Source organism: Homo sapiens, chromosome 13 (assembly GCF_000001405.40).
Source record: "Homo sapiens chromosome 13, GRCh38.p14 Primary Assembly".
NCBI lineage: Eukaryota > Metazoa > Chordata > Mammalia > Primates > Hominidae > Homo > Homo sapiens.
The window spans coordinates 46434280-46454158 of record NC_000013.11 but is presented as its reverse complement, the minus strand read 5'-3'; the positions used below and the strand labels follow the sequence as shown (position 1 = coordinate 46454158).

The 19879-nt window shown below is 34.3% G+C and overlaps 1 pseudogene; it reads left to right on the top strand.

The window, feature by feature from the left end:
- On the top strand, positions 15974-17432 carry PPP1R2P4 (protein phosphatase 1 regulatory inhibitor subunit 2 pseudogene 4; annotated as a pseudogene).

The following is a 19879-nucleotide window of genomic DNA, read 5'->3' as shown; positions in this document are numbered from 1 at the left end:
CCATAAGTCAGTCTCTATATGCCACTTTCTCTGGCATTCTACTATGGAAAATAAACAAATAAACACTTTCAAAGTTTCTCTTTTGCCTTTTAGTCCATGTAAATTATATCTTGGTTAGTAATATTTGAAGAGAGATCTCCTGTGAGGTTTATGAGAAAGTTATTTCTCTTCCTATAAAGACGTGTGTGTGTGTGCGCGCGCGTGTGTGTGTGTTGAGGGGCTGTACATAGGAGACCAGCCTAGTTCTTGCTTAATAGTGAGGGCATAATACGGTGAATTGAAGCAACTACCTTTCAGTTATGAGGCTACGGGTCTAAGAATGAATGTGAGGATTGCTGATGGAAAGAAGTGAGCCTGGCCTACAATAACATTATTTAGTGACTGACTCTCTGTCCAAATCTTTATTATTTGAGAAAACAACCCCTAAATTTAAATGGAAGGTTGTCGGGAGTTTCTATTAAGTAAACTGAAAGTATCCTTAACTTACTCAGCATTTATTTCATAGAATATTAAACAGCACTTGATTATGCTGGACCCAAATGCATCAATGGGAATAAATCTTAAAAGTATAATGTTGAGTAAGAAACCACTATGTTTGGAATAAGTATAATATGATGAAATGTATTAATTAAGAAAAATTATAAAACATTTCTGAATATTGTTCAAGCATACGTATTTAATGATAATGTGAAATATGAATAAGAAAGTTGCACAGCGACACCAGAGAGGGAAAGAATAAAATAGAAATCGTTCAGGAGAGGAAAACTTTGACTCCCTCTTTAATACTCAGAAATAATATAAAGCAAGTTTAATTAAAATTGTTGAATATGGAAGTAAATACATGGATGTCTATTATATTATGCTATTTTGTTTTGTATGTTAGGCATATTTCAAACTTAAAAACTTTTAGAGTGCTTTCCAAAGTAATGTGCAATTAAATTCTTAGAGAAACACTGTAAAGAAAGTAGTATTGTCTCATACTACAGAGTAAACTACTGAGCCTCACTGACATGAAGTAATTTGCACAATTGTTTCTACTCCAATTGAAGTATTTTACAAATTGTTATGTCACAACCTGGGATTTTTCTTTTGCGTTATCATCATAGATATTCAGGAAATATCTACTCATATGTTCATAAAATTGCCTTAAAATGTTTTTTACCAAAGAGACAAATGTTTTCATAGCCTTCCTTCTTTGAAAAACCATTTATAACTTTAAACTCATGATAATGTGTTTCAAGAAATACGTGAAATATGAAATTTTCCCACAGATTAAGTGGTAAAGATGAGAGCTCAGTGGTGGATAAAGGACAATAATAAATAGCTATTTTTGTATTTTTCCTTTTTTACATATCGCTTTTCTTCACTATAAATCAAATATACATTAAGTATTTTATTAAAATAAGTGAAACACTAGAATCTAAATATCTACAAAAATTAAGTGAAGAAATATATCAGAACCCATTGTAGGTTGAGCATTCTGAATCTGAAAATACGAAATGCAAAACGCTTCAAAATCTGAAACATTTTAAGTGCTAATATGATGCCACAAGTGGAAAATTCCACACCTAACTTCATGGGATAGGTTGCAGTCAAAAGGCACAACCCACAGTTTATTCAGCATCTCCAAGGAAAAATGACCACCTTAGCCCACTTCAGCTGTGATATATCTTCTCCATGCCCTTCTACAAAGGGTAATAACATGGCACATGCACAGGCTGGATGTGTGTTCCCACCAGTGCCCTACATGGGGCCAAGACCTACGTGCATTACTGACTGTGCTTTTTCTTGCTTATTCTCTGCTCTTTGGTGTAAAGACATTACTGAAAATGTCAAAAAGGTCTGCAAATACCTCTGTGGGTAATGGTAATAAGAAAAAATGAAAGCATTTCTGTTTATCTATATAAGAGAAAGTCAAGTTGCTAGAGAAACTGGACAGCAGTGTACGTGTGAAACATCTTACAGAAGAATATGGTGGTAGAATAACTGTCCTATATACCCATGGAGAAACACAAGGATAGACTGTTGAAGATCTGTGCTGAAAGTGATGAGCAGAAGATATTGAAAAATACAAAAACACTGCATAAAGCTAAAAATAAATATGTAAGTTGTGTAACCAAAGTGGATATGTTAGCATCCCTGAAGAAACACATATCTACCCCTGAAGAAACTTAAGGGTAAACTGCTGAAGATCTGTGCTGAAAGTGATCAGCAGAAGATAATGAAAAATACAAAAACACTGAATAAAGCTACAAATAAATATGCTTTATTTATAAAGCATGCCACTTAATGGTGTGTGGATCATGACATTAGCAAAGATCAATTACAATGAACTAGAAAATTGAAGAGAACTCTGAATATTAAACAGATTGGTTGCAAAAATTTAAGAAAAGTCATGACATTACATTTTTAAAGATTTATGGTGATAAAGCATCTGCTGACCATTAGGCTGTAGATAAATTTATTAATGAGTATATCAAGATTATCGCTGATGAAGATCTGATGCCAGAACAAGTCTATAATGCTGATGAAACATTCATTTCTGTTGTGGTGTTGTTGCTCTAGAAAGACATCGACTAGAGCTGATAAGACAGCCACTATAGGAATTAAGTATGCCAAGGACAGAATAAGTGTCTGGGATGTACTAATGCAACAGGCAAACATAAGTATAAACTTCCTGTGATAGGAAAAAGCTTGCATCCTCACTCTTTTCAAGGAGTAAATTTCTTAGTCCATTATTATGCTAACAAGAAAGCATGAATCATCAAGGCGTCTTCTTTGACTGGTTTCACAAACATTTTGTACCAGCAGCTCAAGCTCACTGCAGCGTTGCTGGACTGGATGATGATTGCAAGATTTTGTTTTTCCTTGACAACTGTTCTCCTCATCCTCCAGTTGAAATTCTCATCAAAAATAATTTTATGCCATGTGTTTTTCCCCAAATATGACTTCATTAATTCCGTCATATCACCAACATATTGTTAGATCAATAAAGAGTAAATATAAAAACACTTTTTTTGAAGAGCATGCTAGCAGCAGTGAACAGAGATGTGAATGTAGAAGGTTTTCAAAAGAAGTTTAGCATGAAGGATGCCATCTATGCTGTTGCCAATGCTAGAATAAAGTGACTAAAGACACAGTTGTGCATGTCTGGAATAGCCTCTAGTCTGTAACCATGTTTAGTGATGATGATGAATAAGGTGGTGGGTTTGAAGGATTCCACATATCAAGTGAGGAAAAAAAACGATGTCTGATCTCCTTACATATGCAAAAAATACCTTCAGAGTCCCTCAGTAAGCCGGAAGAAGTGGAATTTAGGAAGTTTTTAACAGTGAGAATGAGAATGCAGTTTTTCATTCATTGACTCATGATCAAATAGCCAAAATGGTTCCGAATCAACGTGATCATGAAAATAGTGATCATGAAGATGATTTATACGTTGCAGAAAAAGAGCCCACGACAACATGGTGAAAATATGTGATGAGCTTATTGAAGGCCTAAAGCAGTGTGCACTCATAACAGAAACAGAAATCTTCTCAGTTCATAAAATCAGAAAGTGACTTCTAAGACAAAGAGTGTTGTTAATGAGACAGATGATTCTGGAGGAAGCATTTAAAAAAGCCATCCAGCTGAATGTCTCCTCATCCCTAGAGGATCCACTTCCTGGTTGGCGACTGTTTCTAGTGTTTTTTTCTCACCTACAAAAGATAAAATACTGTCTACAGTAACCTTTTAATCAAATCACAGCTTCTTAGGTGGAGACTGAAAGCCTGCTCTTATTTTTTGTTGCTGTTGTTTAACAGCTGTTAAAGGTATTCTGGTGAAGCTAGTGTGATGATTAGTTACCTTAAACATATTATTTTTTCACTGTATTAATATTATGTCATATTTATTATGGTTAAGTGCTTATGTGTGAAAAAAATATAAGAAAATGCTTATCAGTAGTTATAAATTCAGAGTTAGGAATGATGGTGTTGCCAAAAAAAAAATCCCCACAGACTGTTCACGTGGGTGGCTGAGATAGTAGCACTTTTGGTTTCTGATGGTTCACTGTACAAGAACTTTATTTTATGCACAAAATTGTTAAAAATATTATGTAATGTTAGCTTCAGACTATCTTGGTAAAGTGCTTATGAAAAATAAATTTTGTGTTTACATTTGTGTCTCAACCTCAAGACGTCTCATTATGTACATGCAAATATTTCAAAATCCCAAGCAATTCAAAATCTTACACACTTCTGGTTCCAAGAATTTTAGACAAGGAATAGTTAATATGTATGAATAAACAGCACTTAAGAGAGAAAATGAAATTAAATAAAAGCTGAAAGAAGAATAAAGAAATTTTACTTCACTAAGAAAAATAAAAATAGCAAAGAAGAAATGCGATGTGTTACTGTGCTAACCTAGAGTTAGAGTTATGCTACCATTGCAATGACTTTCAGGAATATTTGATGATATCAACAAGGTATTGCTTCTGCAATACATGGAAAAGGCTATAGAGATAGTTTCGGCTTAATTGAAGTGGAGCTAACATTGTTAGTTTTACTAACAATGGAAGTGATATGCATGATATTAGAATTATATAATTGTTCTGCAGGTTTTGATTGCATGCTCTATGTCACCCATTTTTAATATTACAAAAGTACAAGAGTGGGAAAAGTACAAATGGGCATTATTTTTTGTGTGTGCTTAATGTGTTGCCAAAATGTAAGGGCTGGTGATTGGTAATTCTATCAAAAAGAACACACACACTGCATACATACATATCCTGGAAAGAGAAGATTTAAAAGAAAAGGAAATTAAGATCAATAGAGTCTGTGCTAAATAACAGTTGACATAACAGACATTGTATACTATTTCAAACAATAATTTCCATAATAGCTATAAGATAGGTTACCATTATTATTCAAATTTTAGAGATAAGGAAACTGAATTATGGTTTTATTTAGCACTGGAGAAAGCACAGACAGTAAGTAGTAGATATTTATTTAAAACAATATTCATATTTTATCTAGAGCCCACAGTTTGAACATAATATCATAAAGGATTAAGTTGGAAAAATTAAGAACTATTAGAAGGTGATGACAGTCCTAGGTTTACATCATATTCTTATAATTTATTAATTTTTCTTCCATATTTATGTGTATTTTCTGAACCCGTTTCCTTATCTTAAAAATGGAAGTGTTAATACTAGTCTTGTAAGAGTTATTCTATCTTTCCCACAATTTTATCATGGACAGAAAAAAAAACTGATAGCTACATATAAACGCATGAAAAATGAAATGATATTCATTGTTCAAATATTTTATCACATATATGTACACCTCTTGTTAAACTTTATTTTTTCACAGAAAATGATACAAGTTATTATTAAATTTGTTGCTTAATCAATGTCTTATAAGCTTAATTTATAAGTTTGTAGTTGGCCATTTTATTCTCTATTTTATTGAGAATTATTCACTAACCATGCAGTAGTATTTTTAGTACCTTTCTTTTTGATCATATGAATGATTTTTTAAAAAGTGAAGATAGAGTTTTGTGGATTAAATACCATTCAAATTATAATTTATTGTTTTATTTCACTGGCACTGCTAGAAAACTAGTAGGTTTAACTATGTAAAGACGCTCCATGTTTTTCATATTTTAACTAAATGTTATATTTAGTTTAACTATATAAATATTAACTTCCTAATACCCCAATATATTACTCACAAGCCATGAATGAACATACTTTACATGGTAGTCAGTAAAAAACAACTTTTACAAGTAGACTCAGATGCCAGTATGTAATTCCCAAAAGGCTAAGAGGCTAAGAACTTGGTCTTGTGTACTGCTGTATTACTAATGGCTGAGAAAATGCCTGGGACTCAGTGAACACTCCATAAATATTGATCCTATGAGCGTGAGAGTGTGTGTGTGTGTGTATGCACGCATGTGTCTGCGTGTGTGTGAGAGAGAGAGAGAAGGAGAGAGAGAGAAAGAAGAGAGATCAACTTCCATCTCATTATTTCAGGCAAGAGCCACCATAAACAATGTGTACTAAGTCGTAAGAAGAAATGGAATTAGAGCTTTATTTTGGAATAAGTACTCACTGATATTAAGCAATGTCAAACATACAGAAGATTAACATAATGTTCAGGATTTGAGTAAAAATAAATCAGAAGAACTGGGAGAAGAATATATCTGCTTAAGTTTTGAAACCCTACAAAACAAAGTAGCAGCTTACATATATCAAAGTCTGGCTGTTTAGTAATTATTTTCTACTTCTGTTTAATTTTTATTGTGTGTGTGTGTGTGTGTGTGTGTGTGTGTGTGTGTGTTTGTGTAGCCTTAAATTTGCAGAATAACTTAGGACCATTTCACATTATTATCAAATTAATGCAGCAAATGAGGAAAAAAAGTCAGTGTATCTACATCAAAAAACAAGGGTTATTTTTAACATTAATAGTAATGAAATATTTAAATGCACTGTTTAAACTTCAAAACAGAAGTGATAGGTGCCCATTTTTAATGAGAGGAGGTAAATGAACATTTGGGAATTTTCCAACAATTCCACAATTAAAGAATACATAAAAACTAGATATTGAAAATGTGTATATCATCAGGGTGTTTGACTAAAATGTACTGTCTGTTTTGATGAACCAAAGCAAGGAAGTGTTTCAGGAGTTCATCAGTGTTGAACAGTTGCTGACAACTTTGTTCTAATTTTTGAAAACAATCGTTTGCTAAATTATGGGGTACCTGATGAATAACTTTAATTAGATTAGCATCAAGAAAAAAGAATAAAAAAGAATATATTCTTTAACTACATCAAGATCTAAGCTTATGTTTATATTCAGTGAAAGAAATCTATTAATGAGAAAACCTTTTTGTTTTTCCCAAAAAATACAATTTAAAAAGCAGATGTCTATCTCTTACGGTCCACTGTTTTCCTGGTTTTAATACCAGGGTGTGCTTCCAGTTTTAACCTCCTTTAGTCCCCTTGATGGTAGAAATCTTTTTCGGAGCCAACATCATCATTTCTTAGGGCATATATCAAAAGCTTAACATATTATTTCAGGCTGAAAATATATCAGTGCAAATGTAATTGCAATCTCTGCAGCATCAAAGTAGAAATACCCAGAGTTCATGATTGGTCATTCTTATCCATGAATGTATCATAATAGGCTGATATGCTCCCTTTCCCAGGAAACAAATTTTCTTTTGGACATGGTCCTTCTGATTAAATAATATCTTATCACAAAGAATGACACTAATCGTAGAAATTTCAGGCCTTGGACATTTCATCACTGATCCAACCTGGTAAGTATAGAACATTATTAAAGGGGAAAAAAAGCTTATAAGTTGCTTAGTAATCAATCAACTAGCATTTACAACCATCATTTGATTATTACTGTCTGTGGTACTATAGTGGAAGGAAAATCTAAGCTGTCCATCCACTCCTAAAAGAGATTTGAATTAAGCATATCTGATATATCACATCAATTTAATGAGTAAAATTATTCAGTTGAGCACTTTCTGTTGAATATTTTCAAAGAGCAGCTTTGGACACTGTCAGTGTTATGTTTAATGCTTTTTTCCAGAAAGTGCTAGCCAATCTAGTATTCAATGATCAACTCTAGTCACATCATTTCTAAATTATATCTATAAATGTAAACTTTCTTTAATATTCCAGAAATCTATTTTCATATTTAATATATTTCATTTATTCAAAAGATACATTTATTGGTCGCCTATTTACATGTACCTCTCTAAGCTCTGTAACAATTTTACCAGTTTTGATAGCTCAGTGTCGTAATCGTTGATTCTTGATCATTGAAATGTTCAATAACATGGACATCAAGTCAAGCAATCATAGACACTTAAATTACTTATAAAAGCCCCTAGACAATTAATTTTCACTTACCAATCCTTATTTACTAAAAATTTTGTCAGGATTTATTCTTTCTAGAGTATTCAGATGGTACTTTTATGAAACTTAACCTGAGTTTTTCTATTTTTCAAAAAATATGTATTCAAATTTGTATTTTCTAGAGTAGTTATCTGATTTTTATCTAGAATTTCAATTTCTTAAAATTTTTACTTTATATTTTTTAAACCTGATTGTCACCAAGATAATTTTTACTTAGTACAGTAGGCACACTATTTTTCTGCTAAATATATACTTAGTTCTACCTTTCTACCTTTGATTCCACCACAGCAAAAAAACAAAGTCTGACATAACCTCCTCCTTTTGTTTCAGCTTTTTCACTCATAGATATATTGGCCTGTGGCTTTGAGTTTATTTATTCATCTGCATCATTTACCTATTCCAAGTATTGTTGCAAAAATGTGCCCATCTATCTACCTTTTTCTTTACTTCGCATTTTACTACCAACTTCCTTTTTCTTCTCTTTTCTAATTGCCATCAATAAGTATAAAGCATCACAGATTTCAGTGTGAAAATTAATGTGGCTGAAAAAAGAGATGTTAAGAAATAAATGCCTATAAATGCATTTTAGGTAAGGAAAATATTATCCTGTGTAAAGATTCCTGAATTACTCTGGTGGAATTTACTTTACTCTTGTTTGTGGAGCACGGGAATTATTAAGATAAATAGAGCTTTGTTGATTCCCTTCCCCTAGTGAATGGATTCCTCCCCACACATTCACAAATTTGGTAATAGAGAATATGTTACCAGAGAAAAAGGAATACTTTTATTGATTTTTTCTTTTTTACAAACATCATGTGCAAGCACCACAGCATGATTTTATGCTATCTTTATCCCAGAATGAGTGAAATGTTAAATTTTATCTAATATTGGCTTCTAGGGGCAATAGGGAGTGAAATAGATTAAAGTGGATTATCTCAGAGGCGGGGCAGATTGAAATTCCAGTGCTTTGATGTGGGAGACAGGTGTAGTATGGCATTAGAAATAGTGCTGGAAATCCTAAACTGAGACCATTAGGTATTTGAATGCTGTTTGCATGAATAATACCAAATAATTTGCATATATATGTCTTTGCAGAGGCTGAAAATGAACATGTAGCACTTCTGCCTTGGGATTCTAAGCAAAGGCCTTGTTGGCTGAATGTTGCCTTTGGGAGGAAAGATCATTCTAGGGGAGTTTACTATTGAACTTTGAAGGGGCCATGTGGGCACAAGAAAGGTGCCAAGTTGGCCCAGGAAAGGTGCATGTCAGCCATGGCAACAACAGGAAGTTCTTCCCATTTCCCTGAAGTGTATAAACTTCAGGACACTCAGGATGCTCAAATGCTTTCAACTGGCAATCTTCATAAACAATTAAAGGTTAACTCTGGAGAGAGTAAGGGGAGCAGGACAGATTTATTTTGCTCAGGAAAAAAAAAAGGAATACAATATTTCTTTCACCTGCGGATATTTTAAAACTATAAATTACCCTTGAATTTCAGTCAGTTATGAACTGAGATTAAATCTTACTTAGAATATTGTTCTACTTCAGGAAACACGCACTGTGATTCTCTAATGAGAAAAAGCAATATGGTGCTATGTGTTCTATAAAGATTATCAAATACATGGAGGGAATAATGTTTACTTAGCACAATTAAAATAAACATTATGATAGGTGAGGATTGGTATCTTATTGTTGTTTAATTTGAAAGACTCCAAAGATTAATGAGCAAGTTGGAATATTTTAGCTATCAGGCAACTTGGTTATACTCTTTTTTGCAGTACCCAGTCATGTCTTGGCCCCTGTGCATGTGTGTATACACACACACACACACACACACACACACACACACACGCAAAGAGAATTATTGAATTCTCTTGAATTATTAGGAAATCATGACTTTTGTTATGGATTGAGGTTAAAGTTCAAGGTGTTTTTAAATCCAATATGAATATCAAATTTCTTCAGCATGACTTATTAAAAAATAAGCTATACTTTTTCATATATATATATTTAAAGAGAGAGACAGAGAGTGAGCGAGTGAGAGAGAGAGAGATCATGAGCCTATAGAGGTGAGTCTTTTTCTGGACTGGCTTTTGTTCCATTAGTGTACATCCTATTTTTGTTTCATACTACACTATTTTAATTATTGCAGAATAGGAATCCTTGATATATTGTAGGGCATAATCTCCATCTCTGCTCTTTTTCAAGATTGATTTGGCTCTTCTAGATTCCTTAGGATTTGCTTAAAATTTCCACAAAAAATAAAAATGCAAACAATCAAATAAATTATATAAAAAGAAAACTTTCCATGTCGTAAAATATCACAGGATATAGACAAAACTTTTTCACAATTATAAAGTCAATAATTAAATGTTCATTTAGGAAAAGAATAAATTAACTAAGTATTCCAGTTGGCTGAAGGAAAGGGAGAATGACCATATTATAGGAGGAAGACCAAAAAGTAAATTAAAAAAAATACAGTAATCACAGTGATTAATGCAAACACTTTAAAGAAAAGTAAACCAGAAAATATCTAGAAAATCTAATCATATGTTTTAATAAACAAACTTCAAATAAGATAAGAGCATTAATTTGCACAGAGGCTACTTATAATATATAATACATTTCAAAGTACATTAATATGACATATGTTTAAAAATATTTTTATTTTTGTGGATAAGATGGCAGAAACAAAATGGCACAAAGCAAGAATAATAATAGGGTAAAGAAGCAAAGAAGGAAGGTGAAAAATTTACTTTGTATATTAGAGACCTTTGAGGATTATAATATATATTATGAAGATACGAGAATCATTACTTCATTTTATGCTCTAAAAATGAAATATAAATTCAAATAATACTATCTTAATCATTCTTTTCAGTTTTTCTTGAAAATAAATAAATTGATGGTGCATTCTTATGTGAAGTATAAGTGAATTTGCAAGTTTAGAGAAATACAAGATTATATATTTCTCATTAAATGCATGAACTATTCAGCATTTAGAGAAACAAATTCTTAACCAAACATTATGGAACCATCCAGAATCTAAAGTAAAAGGTTGTGATGTGCACAATGGAATAAATAACTTGAATAAAGATATATTTTAAGCAAAAGTTAGGTATTAAAATTAAACCTTTTAAAAATTTATTTAAAGTATTAAAGCTAACTGAATATGCACAGAAATATGTGTTTGCACAAGCAGTAAAAGGACATAAATATTCATTAACAGAAAGTGTTGAGGCATCATTCTGTACTTAGGTTATGCTTATTCAATGTTACCTTGCTTCTAATTAGTCTTCATTTAACCACTTGTGTCTCAAAGCTTTTCTGATATAAAGGAAAAATGCAGCTTGAAGCAAAAACCAAATGCTCGAATGCATTCAAATTTATACACCTGGATATACTTTCTCAACTTACAGAGGCACTTTTGTGAATTACCACTTCATCAGTGAAATGAGGTGAAAAACTAACATTGCTTTTACCTTAGGCATTCTCTTCAAAGGAAGATTAGAAGCTGAAAAATGAGACTCTTTAAGTCTTCATTTATCATATTCTCCAAAATCTTAAAGTAATTGTATGTCATTTCACATATAAACACAACACATCCACTTCCCTGGATATTCTAAAAGCAAAATCACAAACTATCTGTGAAAACTGTTACATTAAAATGTGGATCAGAACAGCTGTTAGCATTGTTTTATTTGCTTTCTTAAAAATCTAATGTTATGAACATTAATTATCCATAAAATATCATCATTATGTAAAAGAGATAATTTCTCAAATCACTTTTTCTCCAAACTAATTATAGTCGAATAAAACCATGCTTCATCACTTTATGAGAAAAGAAGGGACATATTAAAAGTGTAAGCTTAGAAGCCCATCACAACTTATAAGTAAATACTGACATAAAAATAAATCTACTTTGACCTGTCTCTGTTCTGCTTGTCACTTCTTCAAGGATTTTCTGTAACTTCTCTAATCCTCTTTTGTCTCTCTATCTTATGCTCTCCCAATTCCACACATTTTTATTTTATTCAGAAATTAACTTAGGGAAACATGACTTTTTTTCCGCTTATGCCTGTGGCATCATAGAGATTGCTGATTTTAGCATGCCGGCATTTCCCCATTTTCTAGAAGACCATGGTTTCAAAAAGGTGAAACCATCACTTCTATGTGAGAACATGGTAAATTAGATAATTTATTCACTGACTATGTCAATAATAGTGGAAGAGAAGGATAGTTTTTGAAACTATGGGAACTATTGTCTTAATTCTTTAATTCTAGTTATATATAAGTGACATTAAAATGAGTTTCACTACATAACTCATTAGATTTTATTTTTAATGAAGATTTCAAACTGAGTTTGAAAACAATTCATTTTCTAATAAAACACAAAAATGACTGAGACTTTAAAACATACAAATGTATTCACGTATATAATGGTACCTAGAGTTATGGAATAAATACTTTAAGACTATTAAGGAAAGTTAAAAGAACTTTCCATAATTAAAATATTATATTTTTGATGTAGAATATAATGAGTTTGTTTTGGGAGCCCTTATACAATAGGGAAAAAAGGATTTCATTAAAACATAGAGGATGCAAACATTATGGTCAATATCTTACAAATCTCATGGATTTTCAATTGCCTTGCAGAATAAATGAGGAGAATAAAAGTGTTGACACAGCTTGATGAGTTGGTATTTTTTAATGCTTACTTTAAAAGAGTGCCTGGTGCAAGCTATTTGGCAATTTTGCCAAGTTTCTAATTTCTGAACTCTCATTTGAATTAAACTGTCTACCAACCTCTTGCTCCTTGCATGAGGAGACATAAAAACTGAATTAAGTTGATGGAATATACATGTTAACTAAACAGATTTTTAAGTGTATTGTATTAAACTGGAATTAAAATTTTAGCAACTATAAAGACACCCCAGTATCCAAAATTAAATAGATAATAGCCCAACTTATAACTTTATAACTATAGTCACTAATTCTGTCTTAAAATATTTCCTCTTATAGTATATAATTATTCAATGCTAGCACTAAATGGTTACAATCTAAGATGTAGTATTTGTGAACTTACATTAATAAAAGATGCTATCGGTGGTGGCGGGAGGCAGACAGGTTCCTAGGCAGGGCAGGTCCCTGGTGGGGCCCAACCATCAAGTCAAGGATAACCTAAAGCCTGGGGGCTGGGCTTCCAGTTCCAGGTAGGGTCTGCAACCCAGAGTGGGAACTTCCTTGATGCCTTTCAGCCAGTCAGTTGGCACTTTTTCCACACTCACCCATGGACCAACTCAGAACCACTTCCTCCTGCCCATGGACCAATCAGCATGCACTTCTTCCATTCTGAGCCCATAAAAACCAAGGACTCAACCGGACTCAGGCACCTCACAGGCTACTCGACTTTGGGTAGGGGGCTGCCCTCTTTGGGTCCCCTCTCTGCTAAAACCTGTGCTGTTGTCGCTCAGTAAAAGTCTCCACCCTCCTCACCCTTCAGTTATCAGAGTAACTTCATTCTTCTTGGAAGTGGGACAAGAACTTGGGACCTGCCAAACGTTGGTATGAAAAAGGCTGAAGCACTGTAGTCCACAGTCCTCCACCAGTGTCCGGTGGCTGCCCTAGACAACAGAAAGTAGCAGTGGGGCTGGGTCTGCCCGGGAACCACAGGCCAGAGTTGGGCAACAGGACTGAAAAAGATGTTAACACACCCCTGTACACTGAGCTGCAGAGGGTGGGAATGATACCCCCTCAATAATAATACTGGAGTTGCTGGTGTCTCCGAGTTTCTTGGCAGCCACTGCATTCCCCTCATCCAGATGCAGGTGCCCAAGGTGGAAGAAGGTTGCTGCATGCCCGGCTGAGCTGCAGGCTGAGCGTGGGATCCCACCGTGAGTGCTCGATCCAGCCTGGAGCACAAGCCAAAGGCAGCCCACTGAACCAAGTGGGTGGGGTACCTCCTGTGGCAATCCAAGGGCAATCCTGGGTAGGGGCGTCACCAGCCTCAGAAGTCACCAGCTGGCAAAGCAGCACCGAAAATTCCTGTGTCACTAGTCTACTTTCTTAGTTTAAGATACTGGGAGAAGACATAGTTCTTTGCTCCGCTGATACTAATAAAAAAATACCTTTTGAATATTAAGCCTCCTTCTTACTTGTGCCTCCCCCAACAATTTGCTCTATAAATTCAGACAAATGTCTTAGCATCATCAATGCATTTTTCATTAGCTCAACCTATTTCTCAGTTCCTTCACGATCTGCCATATTTTTTCAAGGTGACCTACTACCGTATAAATTCTATTTAAGCAACACTTGAGCAGGACACAATGCTTTTCTAAGTAAGTATTCATTGACAAAGTGTATTTTCTAACATAAGTAATTCTCTAAAGGTCACCATATATTGAACTAGAATTCTTAGTATCTGATGTACTTAACCTAAATTTTATATTAACTTAAACATTTGTGTCAAACACAAAAAATATCCCAGGCATGAAAAAAGTACATTGCACAGAGAATGAATTGAATCAATAAGGACAAATTTGAAAAGTGTTAGGGAAATGAATAGAAGGTCAAAAGTCAAATATTCTTTCGAATATATGCAAACAGTCTTAGTGCCAAGACTGAAAATTAGTTTTTATGATTACAGAAGCTGTAGATACGCCCTGACATTTGCAAAAAATATGCTATAGTAGTGGGCCAGGAGAGGTAGTCTAGAAACTGATTGATTTGGAGAACATATAAAATAATCAGCTTAAAATGTATTATTATTGTTTTCTTACCATAGCCAGTTCTGTGAATCAGGAATGAATCTAGGAATGCTGTATTCTGAAAGCATGTGGTGATTTTATGGTTCAAGTAAAACAATAACAAAAATATTAAAATAAATACCACACACTTGTTACAAAAGGAATGAACACTGAAAAGAAGTCAAATATGATTCGGTTTTAAATCTCTTAGATATATTAGTGTATCTTGACATCACAAATGTATTTAATAAATATACTTCCAATTTGATGTCAATTTGAATTAAGTGATTACATAATAACATAATTATTAACTTGTAAAGAGCTTCTCTTTTGCCAGACACTATTCTATTTTGTTTACTCCTTACAACTCACTGAGAAAGTTATTTTTTTTGTCATTTTACAACGGAGGAATGTGAGATTATAAATGAATTTCCCAAGATCACACTATTCCTGACTTGATACCAGTTATATCTTAGTCCAAAATAAAAATAAAAGCTGTAATTTGTTTTAAAAATTTGTGTAAAGAATATTATGTTATTTATCATCTATTTATCTCTATCAGCTGTATTTCTTATAACATCCCAATTGCTAGATATCATGACACTGCAAGTCATTCAATCCCTTCTCAGAATTAACGAGATTTAATAGTGCTGAGTATATTAAGTATATTTTGACTGTAAATGAAATGTTTAATGACTGATATTCAAGTATAAAGGCATCAATCATCTGGCAGGCACCATTTTTAAGAGAAAAATAATGCATTTTAAATTCATGATGAAAGAAGGAATTCCTAATTTGGACTCAAAATAAGATCAAAAGTCCAACGACTAGCACTGGTTCTGCTAATAGCCAGCTCAATGGCTCCTTGTATAAAGATACCTGATATTTTAGGTCTCACTCATCTCCATATTTCTTCAAACAGTATTTTAAAAGGACTTATGATGTGCCAAAAACAAAAGCCGAGCTCGGAATAAAGTGATATAACAGAGTCATCAAACATACAGACTACTTTTCCAGGCATTGGACTGCACGAAATAACTTAGCAACTGGGTGCAGAAACTATAATAGAGAAGTGGTTGGAAGTCTCAGTTCGTAGACACAGAAGAAATTCCAGATCCATAAAATGAGAAAGGATAAGCAAAGGGGAATGAGAACCAGCTGCCAATGTGATAGAATTTAAACCAAGGTAAGATATCGCGAGAGGGCGGGCCCGCTAGGCTTGGCGTCGCTCCCGAGCTGGAGCTCTTGCCGGCGTCTCCCCTCGGCCAGCGGCTGAAGTGCTGGCGGTTAAGGGCCCGTGAGCAGCCGCCACTCCTTCGGCGTTGGCTCTTGCGCCGGGGTCGTTGTTTCGTGACAACCACTCAGGTAGCCGTTTCTGAGACGGCAGATGCGGCCGCTTTAGCCCTGAGCGGGCTCCGCGGCTCCCTGGACGGTCTCTGCCAGTGCCCGACTCTTCTCTTCCGGACTCCACGCCAAGCAGCGACCCTGAGCCAACAGCCAGAGCGCCCAGAAATGGCGGCCTGGACTGCCTCGCACTGGCCAGTCAAGGGGATCCTGAAGAACAAGACCTCTACAGCTTCCTCTATGGTGGCCTCGGCTGAACAGCCCAGCGGGAGTGTCGAGGAGGAGCTGAGCAAAAAATCCCAGAAGTGGGAAGAAATGAACATCCTGGCGACATATCATCCAGCGGACAAAGACTATGGTTTAATGAAAATAGTTGAACCAAGCACTCCTTCCTGTCGTAAGATGGGTGATGGTGAAGATGCGTGTAGTGGTATAGAAACCACTGAAGCCGTGGCACCAGATATCTTAGCTAAGAAATTAGCTGTTGCTGAAGGCTTGAACCCAAAGTATCGGGTTCAGGAACAAGAAAGCAGTGGAGAGGAGGCTAGTGACCTCTCACCTGAAGAACGAGAAAAAAGGCGACAATTTCAAATGAAAAGGAAGCTTCACTACAATGAGGGACTCAATATCAAACTAGCTAGAGAATTAATTTGAAAAGACCTACATGATGACAAAGATGAAGAAATGTTAAAGACTGCAGGTGGAGAAAGCATGAAGACGGAAGAATCAAATCAAAGCTCTACAACAAGTGACCAACGGCAAAACACATTCAGTAAGTTCATAGAAGAGCTTTGTTCAACACTACAACTGTTTGCTAGATAGAAACCCTGTTACTATAATACATTGCTTCTTCTTCTCCACAATTTATGATTTAAGTATCAAAATCATACCAGTTATTATATATTACCAAGAATTAAATGATATCCTTAGAAACTGATTAGACTGAACATGCCTAATTGGTATATATATCTTGTGCCTAGTACTTTACCACAAATCCAGTGTAATATCATCAGTCCAAAACTGCATTACTTTTGTAAAAACACTGGTTAATTTGTGTAAGATATTATATAGCATTTTTAGAGGATAAAAAATATCTTTGGGGAGGGGAACTAAGTTATTTTCATCACTCTAAATGGGGCGATACCTCTTAGAAGTTTGTTGGTTTGCTTTTTTTTTAAATCAAAAGACAATTGAACAACAGGATGTATAGGCTGATAAATATTCAGTCCGAATAGTATTTTAACACTTGTCTTCAACTTGATTTGTCTGTTTAATTGAAAAGGATTATAAGAGTTACTCTTGCATTTTCTGTCCTACTACCTTTAAAGTTCCTGTTGAGTTTCTTTGTATTTACAAGGAAAGGACTGAACTTTTTCTCATCAAAACTAGCCTTTTTTTTCTCACAAATAAATTATCAGTTTAAACTTGCAAAAAAAAAAAAAAATTAAGCCAAGGTAGAATGTAGTTGTGGTCTGAGGAAATTAATGTTCTAAAAGTTGTAGAAGGATAACAGGGTGTGAAAAGATACTGTTAAGTCAACTTAAACATGAACTGATAATTGACCACTGGATTCAGGTGAGCAGAGATGACAACAGCATGTGATATTTCTTCAGAGTAGAGGAAGCAAAGTCTGATTGAAGTTTGTTGGAGAGAGGATGGGAAGAGAAAGGGTTCAGACGGTAAGTACAGTTACACTTTCAATGAGTTTTGTTGAATAGAACAGTCAAGTCAGGCATTAGAGGAAGAGGCAGAGTCAATGGACTTTTATTTTTTTTGTTGCTTTGTTTCTAAGGCAGTAGAAACTGCAATGTTTCTATACAAATGAAAATGCCCAAATAATAAGGAAAACATTGATCATACAGGAACATGATAGGGAAGTTGCCGGAGTAATTCACTTTGCAAACAAGAGGTAATGGGATCTGTTGCACAAGTGTAGAGCTGAGACTTATATAGGAGCATATAGCTTATTTGTTGTGGGAAGAGGATAGGAGTATAGGAAGGTCGATAGACTCGATGATGGGTCCATGCAGGCATTTTCTTCATATACTTTCTACTTCCTCAGTGAAATAATAGCCATGAATATGTATCTGGAAGAAAAATGCTCTAGTTCCATAGAGTGGGGAATAATTGGAACAGTTACGCAGAATAATGGGAGAGCAAATTGAATAAGGAGATAGAGTGGTATCACCCTACAGCCTTAAGGAATCCCTTGAGTTCAGTGGTCAGGATATTAAAATGAGATCATTCAACACTGTTGTGAGGTTTTCTCCTTTAAGTTCACTTATTCGATGATGACTTAGAACAGGTGACCAGTGAAAAACCAGTGAAAACAGTAAACATTTTTTCAGGAAAATAAAACACGGGTGTTGATAATGGTATTGAGGCTTTATGAACAATGGAAAGAGGTTATAATGAGTGGTCATAAGATGTAAGTCAGATGGGTAGGAAAGACATGGTGAACAGTGAAAATACAGTAGTATCAATGGATTGGTTGGAAGATGGGATGAACCTAGTAATAAGTGAGGAAGAGGGGTTAGCTGTTACTGGTAATTTTCAAAGTTCAGATGGCTGAACTAACAGGGACCAGAAGTCCATTGAAGGAGAATTCCTAAAGGAACTGCGTGTGTAAATGGATATTGAAAGCATAGTGTATATGGATAGGAAATTTACTGAAAAGTTGCAGAGATAGTTTGGAAGAGAAAGATAGTAAGCTGAATTACTAAACTTCCAGAGAATGAGGGAGACAAAATTACAGATCTGGAGATCTGTAAATAGCTGTGGCAAAAAGGGGCAATGTATGTCATAAACTGTTGTCATGAGCTTCAAAATAGATGAGAGTTTGGAGAAATGATGAGGAACATTGGTTTGTTTGTTGTGAATAACACCACAGATGATTATGGGATAAGTATAAGACTTTTGAGTGGATATGAAGAATCAGGTAGGTCAAAATCATACGAGCATAAATTGTGTTTGTTGATTGTAAATGCAGTGGGCTCCTTGAGTTAGCGAACTGGGTGGTCCTTGATGCTTCCCAAGAGTCTCTGCCTGGCACTTGGTCTGCCACACCTTAGGATCAGACTTTTTGGTAACCACACCCTGATTATAAATACCCGTGGTTTATCTGTCTGTTGAATCACATTTCTCCCCTCCTATCCAACAAGACTTGTATATTTAAGAAAACATTATCCTACTACAGTGGGAAATCAGTACCCTGTCCCATACTCCAAATAGAATTTCCTCACTCCAACAGAGTAGCACTTCCATTGTGATGCTATAAAACAGGGGGCACAAACTCAAATATGTACAGGAAATTTAAATAAAGTGGCTAGAGGAAAGAAAAATCAACTACCAAAAATATAATAAAACACTACTTTTACAGAACTATGTAGTAAATAACAATATAAGGATGATTAGTCCTAACAATTATATTTTAAATTAAAAAAAAAGTAATGCAATTACAATCAAAACAGCTGTGCATGACCTTTTTCTTAACTTTTGATATAATAGAACTTTTTTTTCTTAACTTCAAAATGAGAATGTTATATCTTTTTTTTTTTTTTTGGATGTTGTAATATAAACCATAGCATGTCAGAAACTTTTATAGCGACCACATGAAGATTATTTTAAAATTAAATCTGTTACAATTTTAAATTGTAGTTATAAGTTGTTAGTGAATTGAAAATATGTTGAGTAAATTAAGTTTTTATTTTTAAAGGTTAGTATCTATAATTGTCAACTATAGTACTGATGTAAGGATTTTGTTGGGAACGTAGGGATTAAATTATAATGACACCATGAAGAATAATTCTATCTTCAGAAGTTACTAAAAATAAATCGACTGAAAGATCGGAAGATTGGAGGATTTGTGAGGTCAGGA